The sequence below is a fragment of the Homo sapiens genome, chromosome 4 (genome assembly GCF_000001405.40).
Source record: "Homo sapiens chromosome 4, GRCh38.p14 Primary Assembly".
Lineage (NCBI taxonomy): Eukaryota > Metazoa > Chordata > Mammalia > Primates > Hominidae > Homo > Homo sapiens.
This window is the reverse complement of record NC_000004.12, coordinates 153,394,600-153,410,952: the sequence shown is the minus strand read 5'-3', so window position 1 is coordinate 153,410,952 and position 16,353 is coordinate 153,394,600. Positions and strand designations below refer to the sequence as shown.

At 38.8% G+C, this 16,353-nt stretch overlaps 1 protein-coding gene across 4 annotated transcripts in view; it reads right to left on the bottom strand.

Moving 5' to 3' along the window:
• MND1 (meiotic nuclear divisions 1) overlaps window positions 1-16,353 on the bottom strand; it is a 70,470-nt gene that overhangs the window by 4,166 nt on the left and 49,951 nt on the right. For 2 of the 4 annotated variants that reach the window (NR_045605.2, NM_032117.4), the window contains 2 exons: window positions 13,620-13,734; window positions 1,938-1,982 (listed from right to left, as the gene is read on the bottom strand). Coding sequence is in view for 3 of the 4 variants with exons in the window: in NM_032117.4 (NP_115493.1) it covers window positions 1,938-1,982; window positions 13,620-13,734 (160 nt within the window). In the remaining variant the exon portion in view is untranslated. The remainder of the gene's footprint in view (window positions 1-1,937; window positions 1,983-13,619; window positions 13,735-16,353) is intronic. The other 2 variants (XM_005263275.3, NM_001253861.1) reach the window with 2 other exon arrangements.

The window sequence follows — 16,353 nt, the reverse complement described above, 5'->3', positions numbered from 1 at the left end:
GTGGCACCATCTCAGCTCACTGCAACCTCCGCCTCCTGGGTTCAAGCAATTCTCCTACCTCAGCCTCCTGAGTAGCTGGTATTACAGGTGTGCGCCACCATGCCTGGCTAATTTTTGTATTTTTAGTAGAGACAGTGTTTCATCATGTTGGCCAGGCTGGTCTTGAACTCCTGACCTCAAGTGATCCTCCTGCCTCGGCCTCCCAAAGTGCTGGGATTACGGGCATGAGCCACCACGCCCGGCCAGGACTTTTTTAAGTAAAAATAAAGCAAACTTTCTTTCTATATGATAATTTTAATATGAATATTAAAACAAACTTTAAAAGCTATATGATAAGTAAGACTGCAATTTCATTAAAAAACAAACTAAAGGCCAATTATATTGATTTTACCAATCTACCTAATTCTAAAATAGACTAGGAAAAAAATAATTCTTATTACTGTTTTCTTTTTGTTTGTTGTGAAGGTGGCGGTTTTCTGAGGTGTGATGCTTTCTCTCTTATCTCTGTCTTTGCATAACACATGTTTAAGCTGGAAGGAGTAAGTTGTAACTTTAAATGGAAATATGGTTCTTAACAGCTGTTTCTGCTGTTCTAAAAATATCTTTCTTCCTCATGGTTTTAAAAGTCCCAGGTTCTTCTGCAGCTAATAGGATAGGAAAAAAAAAAAGCCATTCCAAATGTTTTTCCAATTATAATTTTGGAAGTTTATGATCAATTGGAAAACATGAACTTTTTTAAGAGAAGAAAAGGAAAAGGGGAGTATTTATCTACGTGTCCAACATGGTGCTGAAGGGCTTACAAACTGTCTTATTTAATCCTCCCAAAATGGGAGGTAGGTATTATTTATCCACATTGAACAGATGAGGAAGTAGGCTGAGAGAGGGTCAAGAGGTCACACAGCAAGTAAGGAGAATAGCTTGGATTCTCTTCAAAGCCACGTTCCTCCCACTACACACACATGCTGCCTGTGCCTACTGTGTGCTGAGCCTCTTTGTTGAAAATACTGGGGGAAATCACCTTGGATTCGTATCTTATTTTTAACCTAAAAATCCACATTTATTTATACTTTGTGGGACACTTACTTCATGTCAGTTTGCTGTTTCACCCTCTGTTCTTATCACTAAAGCATTACCTTACTTAAGAAATAACTTTGTAATAAATAAAACTGCAATTTCAGAAAAAAAAAATCCGAAAGGCCAATTATATTGATTTTACCAGTCTATTTAATTCTAAAATAGAGTAGGAAAAAAAATTATTATATTTTTTGTGTGAAACAGAGGCCTGGACAGGGAGTCAGAGAAACCTGGCTCCAGCATCTGTTCTTGCAGTGACTAATCGCCTTTGACTAAACATAGTCATTTTAAGTCCAGCCAGAAAAGTTGGATTATAATTCCTGTTCTGCTGTCTGACACATGTGTGGCCTTGGACTCCTGAGGGTCTTAGTTTTGTCTCCTAAATTAGGGATAATAATCATATCTACCTCAAGATTATCATGGAGATAAAATGAGAATGAACCACAGACATTACAGTAACTGGCAAATAGTCCTCAACAAACCTTAGCTATTATTATTATTATTATTAGCAAGATGATAAATCTTTAAGATTTCATTATCTTAAAAGTGTATCTTACATTAATGTATATGAAAGTTAAGTGATTAGCCCAGGTGACTTATCTTGGGAAAAGTTGCACAAAAGTTAAACTGGAAGCAATCATTAGTTTTACAAAAATATCTTATGCTTTACAAAATGACTCATAAGATTATAAAAAAAACCTTAAATAACTGAAATGATTTAATATGTAAACATTTGAGTAATGCATACATTTTTCATTAACGTCCTTTCTTGAACAAAGCTAGCACAAGGTATCTGAATTTCACGTCGCAGTAAGTGTGAAGGGAATTTAGCTATAGTTTATCAGCATTATTATAGTACATACCAGTCCATCTGTTAGCAGCTTCTTTGGCTACTTTATTTGCTTGGCCTGAAAAAAAATTATATATATAAAATGAAATGTATTTATATATATATATATATATATACACACAAAATGATCTTTAGCTATGTATACATTTGTATTTTTTCATATGAACAAAATTTTTATAAAATTTATGTATAAAATGGCTATGAAAAAAGCTGAAATAGTGACATAATATTGTATTTTACAAACTCTTGCAAATTCCCAAGGAAATTTAGGGAGTTGCAGTAGTATTAGTAATTAATGGAAAGTCAAAGTGAACAATTTCCCTTTCCTAAGTGTCCATCATCATTGTACTTGCTCCTTTAAAGACAACATGTAAGTTTAAATGAGATGTTTTTCAAACAACTCACCATACCAAAATACAACAAAATAAGTTAAATTTAACGATAAGAATTTTACTATATAGGCATTATAAGACCACAATAAGTGTGACTCTAAAAAAAATTTTAGGGATAAGAAAGTAATCTCATAGCGGGAAGTATTTACTTTTACTTTAAATACACATCGTGCTATCAAATGTATCTGTATGTATATTATGTACTTCGAGTTACTCTGCACAGCATGTAACAATGCCATGATTAATGGGGCATTAACTATTACTTACAATGATGGCATTTTTAATTGAAAGATAATTTATATGTCACAAAATTCAGCATAGTAAACTATATAATTCAGTAATTTTTATTTATTTATTTACTTATTTAGGGACTGGGTCTCACTCTGTCTCCCAAGCTGGAGTACCATGGTGTGATCATAGCTCACTGCAGCCTCAAACTGGCGGGCTTAAGCAATCCTCCTGCCTCAGTTTTCTGAGCAGCTGAGACTACACGCATGCGCCACCATGCCCAGCTCATTTCTTGTAGAGATAGGGGTCTTGCTATGTTGCCCAGGTTGGCCTCCAACTCCTGGCCTCAAGTGATCCACCCCATCTTGGCCTCCTAAAGTGCTGGGATTACAGGTATGGGGCACCATGCCTGGCTTTCAGTGGTTTTTATGATAGTCACAAAATTGTACAACCATTACTACTATTTAATTCCAGAACATTTTTTCATCACCCAGAAAAAACCCTTGTGCCCCTTAGCACTCACTCCACATTCCTTCTCCCTCCGTCCCCTGGCAACTACTAACCTAGTTGCTGTCTTTTCTCTATGGATTTCCCTTTTGTGTACATTTCATATGAACGAAACATACGATATGTGGTCTTTTAGGTCTGGCCTCTCTCACTTAACACAATGTTTTCAAGGTTCATTCATGTATCAATACCTCATTCTTTTTTATGCGAAGTACTATTTTACAATTTGCTTATCCATTCATCAGCTGATGGACATTTGGGCTGTTTCTGCTAATACGAATAATTTTTGTGTGGACATATTTTCAATTATCTTGGGTATATATTTTGGCGAAGAGATAAATTGTTTGCCAAAGTGGTAGCACCACTTTATAATACCACCAGCAATCTAAGAGTTCCAGTCTCTCCACATTCTCATCACTTATTATTTTCTATTTTTTTTTGAGATGGAGTTTTGCTCATTGCCCAGGGTGGAGTGCAATAGCGCGGTCTTGGCTCACTGCAACTTCCACCTCCCAGGTTCAAGCAATTCTCCTGCCTCAGCCTCCTGAGTTGCTGGGATTACAGGCATGTGCCACCACACCCAGCTAATTTTGTATTTTTAGTAGAGATAGGGTTTCACCATGTTGGTCAGGCTGGTCTCCAAGTCCCAACCTCAGGTGATCCGCCTGCCTCGGCCTCCCAAAGTGCTGGGATTACAGGCGTGAGCCACCGTGCCCGGCCTCATTATTTTCTATTTTTACATTATAGCCATCCTAATGGGTGTTGATATGGTTTGGCTGTGTCCCCACTCAAATCTCATCTTGAATTGTAACACCCACAATTCCCACGTGTTGTGGGAGGACCCCAGTGGGAGGTGATTGAATTATGAGGGCGGGTCTTTCCTGCCCTGTTCCCATGATAGTGAATGAGTCTCACAAGATCTGATGGCTTTAAAAATGGGAGTTTCCCTGCACAAGCTCTCTTCTCGTCTGCCACCATGTGAGACGTACCTTTCACCTTCCACCATGATTGTGAGGTTTCCCCAAATACGTGGCACCGTAAGTCCAATAAACCTCTTTCTTTTGTAAATTGCCAAGTCTCAGGTATGTCTTTATTAGCAGTGTGAAAACAGACTAATAGAAGTGTGAAGTAGTATCTCACTGGGGTTCTGATTTGCATTTGCTAATGATTTTGTGCATCTTTTCATGTGCTTATTGGCCATCTGTGTATCTTCTTGGGGGAAGTGTCCGTTCATATCCTTTGCTCATTTTTCAACTGGGTTGTCTTTTTATTGTTGTATTATGAGTTCTTTATATATTTTGGATACTAGACACTTGTCAGATACAGGACTTGTGACTATTTTCTTCCATCCTGAGTTCACTTTTTACTTTCTTTTTTTCTTTTTGTGATGGAGTCTCTGTCACCCAGGCTGGAGTGCAGTGGTACAATCTTGGCTCACTGCAACCTCTGCCTTCCTGGTTCAAGCGATTCTCCTGCCTCAGCCTCCCGAGTAGCTGGGATTACAGGTGTGTGCCACCACACCCGGCTAATTTTTGTATTTTTAGTAGAGATGGGGTTTCACCATGTTGGCCAGGCTGGTCTCAAACTCCTGGCTTCACATGATCCACCTGCCTTGGCCTCCCAAAGTGCTGGGATCACAGGCATGAGACACCGCGCCCAGCCTCTTTTTACTTTCTTGATATTGTACAAAACTTTTTAACTTTGATGAAGTCCATTTAACTACTTTTTCTGTGGTTGTTTCTGCTTTTGGTGTCATATTCAAGGAATTGTTGCTTAACCCAAGGATAAAGAAATATAAATCCGGCCTGGCACAGTGGCTCACGCCTGTAATCCCAGCACTTTGGGAGGCCGAGACGGGCAGATCACGAGGTCAGATCAAGACCATCCTGGCTAACACGGTGAAACTCCCTCTCTACTAAAAATGTAAAAAATTAGCCTGGCGTGGTGGTGGGCGCCTGTAGTCCCAGGTACTCGGAGGTTGAGGCAGGAGAATGGCCTGAACCCGGGAGGCAGAGCCTGCAGTGAGCCAAGATCATGCCACTGTACTCCAGCCTGGGTGACAGAGTGAGACTCCGTCTCAAAAAAAAGAAATATAAATCTGTTTTCTTCTAAGAGTTTCATAGTTTCAGCTCTTCCATGTAGGTCTTTGATCCATTTGAGTTAATTTTTTTGATGTAAGGTGGGGGTTCAGATTAATTCATTTGCATGTGGATATCCAGTTGTGCCCAATACCATGAGCTAAAAACATGATTTCTTTCCTGATTCCATGGTCTTGGCACCTTTGTTGAAAATCAATTGGGTTTATTTCTGGACTCTTGATTCCATTCCATTAATCTATATGTCTATTCTTTTTTTTTTTTCTTTTTGAGACAGAGTCTTGCTCTGTCGTCCAGGCTGGAGTGCAGTGGCATGATCTCGGCTCACTGCAAGCTCCGCCTCCTGGGTTCACACTATTCTCCTGCCTCAGCCTCCCAAGTAGCTGGGACTACAGGCACCCACCACGCCTGGCTAATTTTTTATATTTTTAGTAGAGATGGGGTTTCACCGTGTTAGCCAGGATGGTCTCGATCTCCTGACCTCATGATCCACCCGCCTCAGCTTCCCGAAGTGTGCATGTCTATTCTCATACCACTACCATACTGTCTTGATAACTGCAGCCTTGTAGCGAGTTTTGAAATTGGGAAATTTGAGTCTGTAACTTTGTTCTTTTTCAAGATTCTTTTGACTATTCTGGATCTCTTGCATTTCCATATGAAACTTAAGATCAGCTTACCAATTTCTGCAAAAAAGCAGCTGAAATTTTGATAGGTTTAGCATTGAATCTGTAGATCAATTTGGGGAGTATTTCCTTAATAATATTGTCTTTCAGCCAGGTGCAATAGCTCACACCTGGATTCCTAGCACTTTGGGAGGCTGAGGCAGGAGGACTGCTTGAGCCCAGGAGTTCGAGACCAGTCTAGCTAACATAGTGGGACCCCGTCTCTACAAAAAAGATAATAAAAAAAAAATTAGCCAGGTGTAGAGGTGCACACTTCTAGTCCCAGCTACTAATTTTTTTCTATTTCTCTTTTGTCTAGCTAAAGGTTTGTCTACTTTGTGATCCGCTTAAAGAACGAATTTTTGGGCCAGGTGTGGTGGCTCATGCCTGTAATCCTAGCACTTTCAGAGGCCGAGGCGGGCAGATCACCGGAGGTCAGGAGTTCAAGACAAGCCTGGCCAACATGGCGAAACCCCGTTTCTACTAAAAATGCAAAAAAAAATTAGCCAGGCGTGGTGGTGAGCACCTGTAATCCCAGCTACTCAGGAGGCTGACGCAGGAGAATTGCTTGAACCAGGGAGGCGGAGGTTGTAGTGAGCCGAGATCGCACCACTGCACTCCCACAAGACTGAAACCCCGTTTCAAAAAAAAAAAGGCCGTGCACAGTGGCTCACACCTGTAATCGCAAACTTTGCGAGGCTGAGGCGGGCAGATCACGAAGTCAAGAGATCGAGACCATCCTGGCCAACATGGTGAAACCTCATCTCTACTAAAAATACAGAAAAAAAAAAAAAAAAAGCTGGGCGTGGTGGCACGTGCCTGTAGTCTCAGCTACTTAGGAGGCTGAGGCAGAAGAATTGCTTGAACCCAGGAGGCGGAGGTTGCAGTGAGCTGAGATCACGCCACTGCACTCCAGCCTGGTGACAGAGCAAGACTCCACCTCAAAAAAAAAAAAAAAAAAAAAAAAAAGAACCAATTTTTGGTTTTGATTTTCTCGTTTTTCATTTCTCTTTGAATATATTTAAAGTGTCTTTGTCTAGTAAGTCCAACACATGGGCTTTCTCGGGAACAGTTTCCATTGAAACATTTTCACTCCAGTGTGTGAGCCATAGTTTATTTCTTTGTATGTCTTGCAATCTTTTTGTTGCAAAACTGGACATTTAAAATAATGTTAGCCTGAGTAACATGGTGAAATCCTGTCTCTACAAAAATTAGCTCAGCATGGTAGCATGTGCTTGTAGTTCCAGCTACTCAGGGGACTGAGGCAGGAGGATTGCTTGAGCCCAAGAGGTTGAGGCTGCACTGAGTCATGATCATGCCACTGCACTCCAGCTGAGGTGACAGAGTGAGAGTGTCTCAAAAAAAAAAGTAATAATTAATTTAAAAAATAATATAAGGCACTGTAATCCCAGCTACTTGGGAGGCTGAGGCACGAGAATCACTTGAACCCGGCCGGGAAGCAGAGGTTGTAGTGAGCCAAGATTGTGCCACTGCACTCCAGCTTGGGTTACAGAGCAAGATTCTGTCTCATAGCAACCCTAGAAAGCAGATTCTTCCCCCTCCCCAGGATTGTTGCTCGTAGAGTTGTTACAATTTGTTTAGTAACTTTCCTGAACTCAATCTGTAAAGTCCGTGTTCTTAAGTGTGGCCACTTAAGTCTCTACTTGGTTAGCTTAGTGGTCAAGCTATTAATTGAACAGAGATTTCCTTAAACACTTGGACTAAACCTCTATGAAGAGGTTCTCTTTTCCAAAGGGCTCAGCCGTCTTTGCTAAGAGGGTTTGCATGTGCTGCGACATGCGTTCTCAGCAAGGCAGTTTATAACTCTGACTTAGTCTTTGCTTCTTGCTTGCACAGAGTATCAAGGTCAGCTAGATGTGGGGACTGTCCCAGGTCTTCACTGAGAATGTGAACAACCCTAAGCATGCATGTAGGCCTTCTATATTTCCAGGAATATGTTGCTCTTCAAGGCTCTCATGAACATATCATTTAGTTTCTCCTTTTTTTTTTAGAAGGTTCTCACTCTGTCACCCAAGCTGGAGCAGAGTGGCACGATCATGGCTCACTGCAGTCTTGATCTCCTCGGCTCAAGTGATCCTCCCACCTCAGCCTCCTGAGTAGCTAGTACTACAGGCACATGCCACCATGCCTAATTTTTAAATTTTTTACATAGATGGAGTTTTGCCATTTTCTTCAGACTGGTTTTGAACTCTTGGGCTCAAGCAATCTTCCCAAAGTGTTAGGATTACAAGCATAAACCACTGCATCTGGCCCTTTTAAGCTTTTTGATTAGTCTACTGTTTGCCTCAACTGTTATTCATCAACAATGGTTAACTGAGAAGTTAAAATTATTGTTTATAATTGTTATAGACAAACACTCCCCACAGAGAGGATTTTAGCATTGGGCATACCCGAGGCCAGATCAAATAAAGACAGTTTTTCCTATTGGTGTCCTCCAGGGAACCACCAAACATGTAAATAATGACAATTCTTTGGGATCAAGGCTCTTACAGAGTTCCAGGGGCATTTTGTTCCTCTAGACAGTAGGAATGCAGGGTTGTTATCCTTCAAGGTCACTGCTGCGGTGAGACTGGGAAATGAGTATAGGCAAATTCAATACCACAAAGCTCATTATTCTTACTCAGAGTCTGCTAATTTTCCTCAGTAGGCTCCTGTAAGCCTTTGGTTAATTTCCAGAGTTCTGAAAAAGTTGACTACAACAATTTTTGCAAGTTTTCTGAAAGGGCAAAGTTTCAGAAGTCCTTACTCCACCTTTTTACTGTCATCCTGGCATTTATTTCTAAGAAAATTACTTAAGTACCTCTAAGATATTTTCAAGTATTTTTGTGGGAATTTAATTTCTACTAACATGTTTTATCTGGTCACATTTGAATAATGGTCAGAATAGCTAAATTAAAAAATTGTTTAAAGAATTGTTGCTTTTAAATATCACTTCTTTGATATTGCAATTAATGTTTGTTGTTGTTGTTTTGAGACTGTTTCGCTCTGTCACCCAGGATGGAGTGCAGTGCATGATGTTGGCTCATTGCAGCCTTCGCCTCCCCAGTTCAAGCGATTCTCCTGCCTCAGCGTCCAGAGTAGCTGGGATTACAGGTGTGTGTCACCATGCCTGGCTAATTGTTGTATTTTTAATAGAAACAGCATTTCACCAAGTTGGCCAGGCTGGTCTCAAACTCCTGACCCCTAGTGATCCGCCTGCCTCTGCCTCCAAAGCAATTAGTCTTCTAAATACTTGCTTAATGATATCAATAATTCAACTGGCATAATTAAATATATGTATTTCTCATGGGTGTTAGTGAGAAATAAGAAAATACATAGCCATGCCCCATATGAACAAATGGTTATGGCTACAGTCACCAAATTGTTCTCTGAATAAATCATGACAGACTTAGAGATAAGCCTGAGCAATATAATATGGGGGGCAATAGCCATGCTACTAAGAACCAAATCCTATTAAAATCAATTTGTGAAACTCATAAGCCTTTAATCCAGTATAATCTGTTCTGCGTTAACATGATAGCTGAAATCCCATGAAACCCCTATCAAAAAGTGCACTTTAAAAACAATAATTTCATTGAGGAATGGAGATTTGGGGTGAGTAGAGGTTAAAGTCTTAAGAAGTTCTCTAAAGTTAGTGATAAGGGGATCACTGGCATCTACTACTTAAATATTTAAATTTCTTGGATTTGTGGGTTTATACTTTTCATCAAATTTGAAAAACTTTAGCTTTTATTTCTTTAGATATTTTTCTGGCTCAGCAACCTCTCCTCCCACCAAAACATACTCCATTTGGGACTGTAATTACACATATATTAGGTCCCTTGAAGTTGTCTTAAGGCTCAGATGCCATTTTCATATTTTTAAAATTTTTATTTTATTTATATGGGAGTCAAGGACTCCATATGCTGTCCAGGCTGGTCTCGAACTCCTGGGCTCAAGTGATCCACTCACCTTGGCCTCCCAAAGTGCTGGAATTACAGGCGTGAGCCACTGCGCCTGGCCCCATTTTCATATTTTTTAAATTCTTTATTTTCTGTGTTTCATTTTGGATATTTCTATTGCTATATCTTCAACTAACATCAATTCTTTCTTCTGCAAAATTTAATCTGCTGGTAATTTACCATAGTGTATTTTTCATGTCAGACATTGTAGTTTTCATGTTCAAAAGTTTGACCTGGGTCTTTTTTATATCTTCTCTATTTCCACTTAACTTTTTGAACATATGGAATACAGTTATAATAACTTTTTAAATGTTCTGGTCTTCTGATCCTAATTTCTGGGTCAATTTTGACTGATGGAGTATTCTGCTCATTATAGATAATGTTTTCCCACTTCTCTCCAGGCCTGGTAGTCTTTGCTTGTATGCCAGACATAATGAATTTTATCTTGCTAGATGTTAATCCTTTTTCAAGAAACAGGGTCTCACTCGGTTGCCCAGGCTGGAGTATAGTGGCACGACCATAGCTCACTACAGCCTTGAACTACTGGGTGCAAGGAATCCTCCCATCTCAGCCTCTCAAGTAGAAAGGTAATAAAACTGGAGGAAGAAAACTTGAATAAAGCGCATGCCAGCATGACCAGCTAATTTTAAATTGTTTGTAGAGATAGGGTCTCACTCTCTTGCCCAGGCTAATCTCAAACTCCTAGCCTAAAGCTATCTTCCTGCCTTGGCCTCCCAAAGTGCTGGGATTACAGGCATGAGCCACTGTGCCTGCAAAAAAGATGATAATCTTTAATAAATTTTTTAAAATGCACAAAGCCAGGAAGGAAGGATTCTTACTCTCTCATTCCCAAGTAAAAAATTAATATATCTCTAATAGACTCCATTACAAGTTCTCCAGGATCCATCTTTACATGGTTGCATAAATAACTATTAAAAGATAACCTAGTCTGATGGTGATGAAAAATGATAAAGGCCAAACATGGTGAATCACACCTGTAATCCCAGAACTTTGGGAGGCCAAGGGGAGAGAACTGCTTGAGGCCAGGAGTTCGAGACCAGCTGGGCAATATAGCGAGACACCATCTCTATAAAAAATAAAAGTAAAAGTAAACTAGCTGGGTGTAGTGACATGTGCCTGTAGTCCCAGCTATTTGGGAAGCTGAGGTGGGGGAATGACTTGAGCTTGCGGGGGTTGAGGCTACCGTGATCCCTGATCATGCACTGCACTTCAGTCTGGGAGACAGAGCAAGGCCCTGTCTCCAAAAAAAAAAAAAAAAAAAAAAAAAAAATCTCACTGAAAAAACAGAAAATTTCAGGTTTGTTCTCTCAGTGAGACCTCATATACTGTAATACTCATAATACTCATTCACAATGGCATGTTTTCCTTGGGTTGGGAAATAAATTACCAAAGTTATAAATTTAAGGGTTAAGATAGACAGCAGAATGCAGGCAACCAGTTTAAAATTTCAGTTGCCGCCTCCTCAACTGTGTTATTCCACCCTCCAGAAAGTTCACCGTCCTTTGTATACCCTGAACTTCTTTTCTGAAGTTTTATTACCTAAGAGGTGATGTGTTTGCCAAAAGTGCTACTCGAATCAGACCTACAAGGAATGGCAACATCTTAAATTACATGCCTAAAATACAAGTTTTCCCCACTTCATGAATTGGTCTGGCACAATTCCCTATCCCTGTTAATTTCCTGAACCTTAATGTGATCCACTGGCTCAGGGTCACTATCAGTGTAGGTTACAGTAGTTTAGTAAGCCTAAATAAGAGTTTTATTCATTCCTGAGTGGGCAGAATATATCAAAATTAAGAAAAGGACTGGGGAGTCAATTGGAGGTGATGTCAGTGAGGGTCACCTGCCCATGGAAATAGCTGTGGCAGTACAATAGGGACCATGGAGTGGAAAAGCTTACGTCTTTTTGGATATACCTAAGAGTTGTAGGTCCTAGACATATAAGAGAATGAAACAGGTAAGCAAAGAGGTAGCACACCAAGGAAAAAGTACAAGAATCACACAAAACTGAAATCAGGAAAAAAGGCAAGTAAGAGTAAATGAAGGGTCCGATTTGGTTATCGTGAAACTCAGATTTTTCATGATGAACTGCTAGAGGGCACAGTCATGCTATCCTGAAAATAAATCACCTGAAAGTATTCAACCTAGTTAAGAAAACTGTGCTTGAAGTTCTCTTGCAAGAGAATGAGAAGGTGCTCTAGATAAGGTACACAATGTTCTAAGTCCTCCTGAACAAGCAGTCTGTTTCCTTTTGAAGATGAATCATACGCAGGCCTAGCTTCCTAACAGTAACCTTCTACCTGTGAGGTACTCTCCTGTTGTGATGTGCTTGTGCTCACTGAGGATCACCTGGTATTAGTTAAAACTTTCCAACAGATTAAGGTATTTATTTTTGTAGGTGTAGATTTGATTAGCACTTTCTTCTGCAGGATGATGACAAATAAATCTGTGGTCAGCATAAAAGAGCTGACATTCTCCCCAAATACTTAATTTACAGACAATGACTGGCTCAGGGAGTTCTTCTGCCTCCACCTCTCTTTGAAAATCACCCTGGGTAATCAGCTGAACCAGTGGCACTACATATCACCACCTAGGCTATGTACTCCATATATGTGAATGGTGCCTCCTGGAGTTGCGCAAAGCAGCGACCTGTCTCTTAAATGAAGTTTAACTTTAGATTTACACTAACTGAACTGCTTACAATTCTTTAATTGTAAAGACCACTGCCAAGGACTAGGCCAGCTTAGTTGCAATCAAACTATCCTCAGGTTAATTTTAACATACCAAATATTTTCCATTTCTTTCAAAGCCTTCTATCACACACTATAATATCAGTTTTTCTATGAGTTTCACTTGGTAAAGTTTCCTAAATAAAAGACAGGCTAAGACAGAAAATTATTTAAAAAGTTATAAATATTTTCCCAAACAATTAAATGCTATGCCTTTATAATACACTCTTTTATCTCCTTAAATATTCACATTTCTATCTTTAAAAAAATATAAACATTATTCAAAACAAGGCTCTGGGGACTCTGGTCTAAAACAAGGAAAAAAAAATGACTGGTATATTTAAAAGGCAACTCAATGTACAGACTGATTTTCTGCAACTTGCAAACTCTTCTACTTATGGTATCATTTTTCCTAGAAGATAATGATGGATTTCTTTACAGAATCAAAGTTCTTGAGGCCAAATTAGCTCTTTTACTAACTCCTCAGTTCTCTAACCTTATATTTTATGTCTTTATCCTTCTATCCCACACTTCTTCCTTAATTTTAAAATGCTTATAATTTCAAAATTGTCGCTGTTCAATGCTCTAACATTAAGACTTCTCTCTTTTTTTTTGAGACAGAGTTCTACTGTGTCACCCTAGCTGGAGTGCAATGGCACGTATAGCACACTGCAGCTTCAACCTCCTGGGCTTGAGGGATTCTCCCACCCCAGCCTCCTGAGTAGCTGGGACTACTGGCATCTGTCACCATGCTTGGCTAATTTTGTGTTTTTTTTTTGTAGAGATGGGATTTCACCATGTTGGCCAGGCTGGTCTTGAACTCCTGAGCTCAAGCAATCCACCCACCTCAGCCTCCCAAAGTGCTGGAATTACAGGCATAAGCCAACGTGCCCGGCACATTAAGACTTTTTAATGGCAATACTAAAGCAATATTTTCCTACTATGTTACAAATACAAAATTAGAGTACTACAAACAGAATACTACCTTAACTAGTTTTATTTTCTCATATACATGGAGAATAGTTAGCAGGCAACTAGAAAAATAAAGTCTTCTTCATTATCAAAGTTAAAGATCCCTAAGGTATGACACAAACTTACGTATTTCTTCCACAACTTGCGGATCACAGTCTTTGTATTTTTCTACTTCTGCCTTTAGCTGTTCCCTTTGGTCTCGAAGTGAAGAAAGCTCTTTTGCTAGCCTGGTTCGCTCTTCCTGCATTCCAGATAGTTTTATGTTCAATTAAGACAAACAAAATTCTATATGTTGTAAGGTAATACATTTTATAACAATTTCATTTTATTTCTTATAAATGATGTGCATTAGACTTTTGACATTATATATATAAGTATACACACACAGATATTCACAGTATAAGAATAAGCTCAATTCTCATCTTTCCTGAAATCTCAAGTATCTTTTATATATATTGAATAACTAAATGGGAGTTAATATGTAGAATGGAATGCTCATAAATAGGTGGGAGGTTCATGTTAGAACTCTAAGATGACCATGTCGTTGTATGTTACAGAAAAAAATTATACTACTTTTTGAGTAGTTTCACAAGATTATGTCTATATGTGTAAGTAACATTTTAAGACATCGATCATTATACAATTATCTTTAAAAGTGTTCTAGACAATTTTTCAATTTTTAAGAATATTTTAATATATCCTTTATATTTTATATACATTTAAAGAAATAATACAATTGTAGTTTGAGGCCTCCCACCACCTATTCTTTAAAGGTAAACCAGAATAAAGCTTCAAAATACAATATGATCCAATAAAAACCATTTGAAATGTCTAGCCATATTTCTCACTAGCAGGTAGAAGTCATAGTGCTATACATATTCAATTTGTATTTCTGAAACCTGAAAAGTAAGCCCAAACAAAAACCAAATGTTGGCAAAGATTATAGTACAGAATCATAGGATAAATCCGAGGCAAAATCAAGTAAAGTTCAAACTGCCTAACACGACTCGTAAGGTTGCCAGCTACCTTGTATTTTTTATTTGTATTTTTCTACTTTGCTTTTAGCTGTTCCTTTTGGTTCCAAAGTGAAGAGAGTTCCTTTGCTAGCATTTGTACAAGAGACTCATATACAGAGCAGCACGCTCAGAAGCAGCACGGCCCAGCAGAATCTCAGCAGTGAGGAAAACTTTCTAGATCTGCACTCTTCACTGCAAGACCTACTAGCCACATGTGGCTACTCAATATATGCAATGTGGCCACTGGGACCGAGAAACTAAATTTAATTGTAGCTAATTTTTATTTAAATATAAATAGCCACACATGGTTAGTGTATATCGTATTAGCACAGCTCAGGAGAGATTTTAAAATAACTATAAGAAGATGGTCATTATTTGCCATCAATACCCAAATAAAAATGCTTCAAAAGGAACACTGTCACCAAGTGTGGTGGTGCCTGCCTGTAGTACCAGCTACTCAGGAGGTTGAGGCAGGGGGATCACTTGAGCCCAGGAGTTCAAGGGCAGCCTGGGCAATACAGAGATATTCCATCTCTAAAAAACAAACCAAAAAACAAAACAAAATCAAGAGGAGAAAAAAAGACAGGAGAAGCAGAGTGGTGAACATCCAATGTGAATATAATAATAGTTCTCCAGGTATCATGCATTGAAACAATCTTAGACAATCACTATCACTGAGATCTTTGCCAAAGTATTTAGCCTCTTTGTGCCTCCAGTTCCTTGAAAGCAAAATGGAGACAGTAACGGTAGCCACCGCCATAGACTGCTGGTAGGATTCAATAAATATACAAAATCCATTTAGAACAGCAGTTGCCTGGCTCAGAGTAAGGAGAATACACGTTAGCTATTTTTCTTCTTTACCAGCAGCAGGATCACCACCATCATCAAGAATAATTAGCAGATAGGGGCTAGGTAGCTCTGAAAAGTCCTGGCTGGTAAGATCAGGATGAGCACAAGACTTCATCTTTCTTAGGAACGTTTCTGAACCACTAAACTCTTCTGATATCTGCAGGCGGCAACTATGTTTGCTAGTGGGTTTTTCCCCGCAAGATGCACTTGTTCCAGTGGATTAACAGTAGACTGGCTGACAACTTCTGGGCAAGCATATGTCACCATTAGTTGAAGGTGGTTCTACAAGTTATTGCCAGTGTTTAAAAAAAACAAACAAAAGGAACAAATAAAGAAGTAGTAGTTGCTACTGTCAACTGAAGAGGAAATAGAACAGCTTCAGGTTATGCCCAGAGTTTACTTTTCCTTGAATATTCTTCAGAAATGACTATTCTCCAATTCCTATCTGTGACTGTGCTGATGATTCACATAAAAGAATATATGTGAAATAACTTTGAAAGCATAAAGCCACTGTAAAGCTTTGCTATATCCCTTTCTACTATGTGACAAGTTTTCCAGTTGCTTTCTTTCCCAATCAAGTGATACAAATAGAGACCCGGATGAAATGCTTAGTGGTTCATGTTGATCTTCAATATTTTTTAAAGTCATAAATCTATAGTTTAGATAATGATGAAAATAGAAAGTGAAATGACTTTTAAAATCTCTAACCTAATACTTAGAAAAATATTGTACTTTAAAAAATAAAATAGTAGGTCAATATTTATTTTTAATATTTTAAAATATTACAAGGCCAAAGATACTATGTTGATAGTTTTCAGTTTGTTCTATGCAAAAATTTTTTTTAAAAGAGTCTTAAAAATTTACATAAACATTTATATAGGGCTTACCATGTACCAGGTCCTCTTCTAGGTGCTTTGCAAATATTAACTAGTTTAATCCACACAATAACGCAATGAAGTATAACAGATTTTGTTATTCCCCATTTTGCAGCAGAG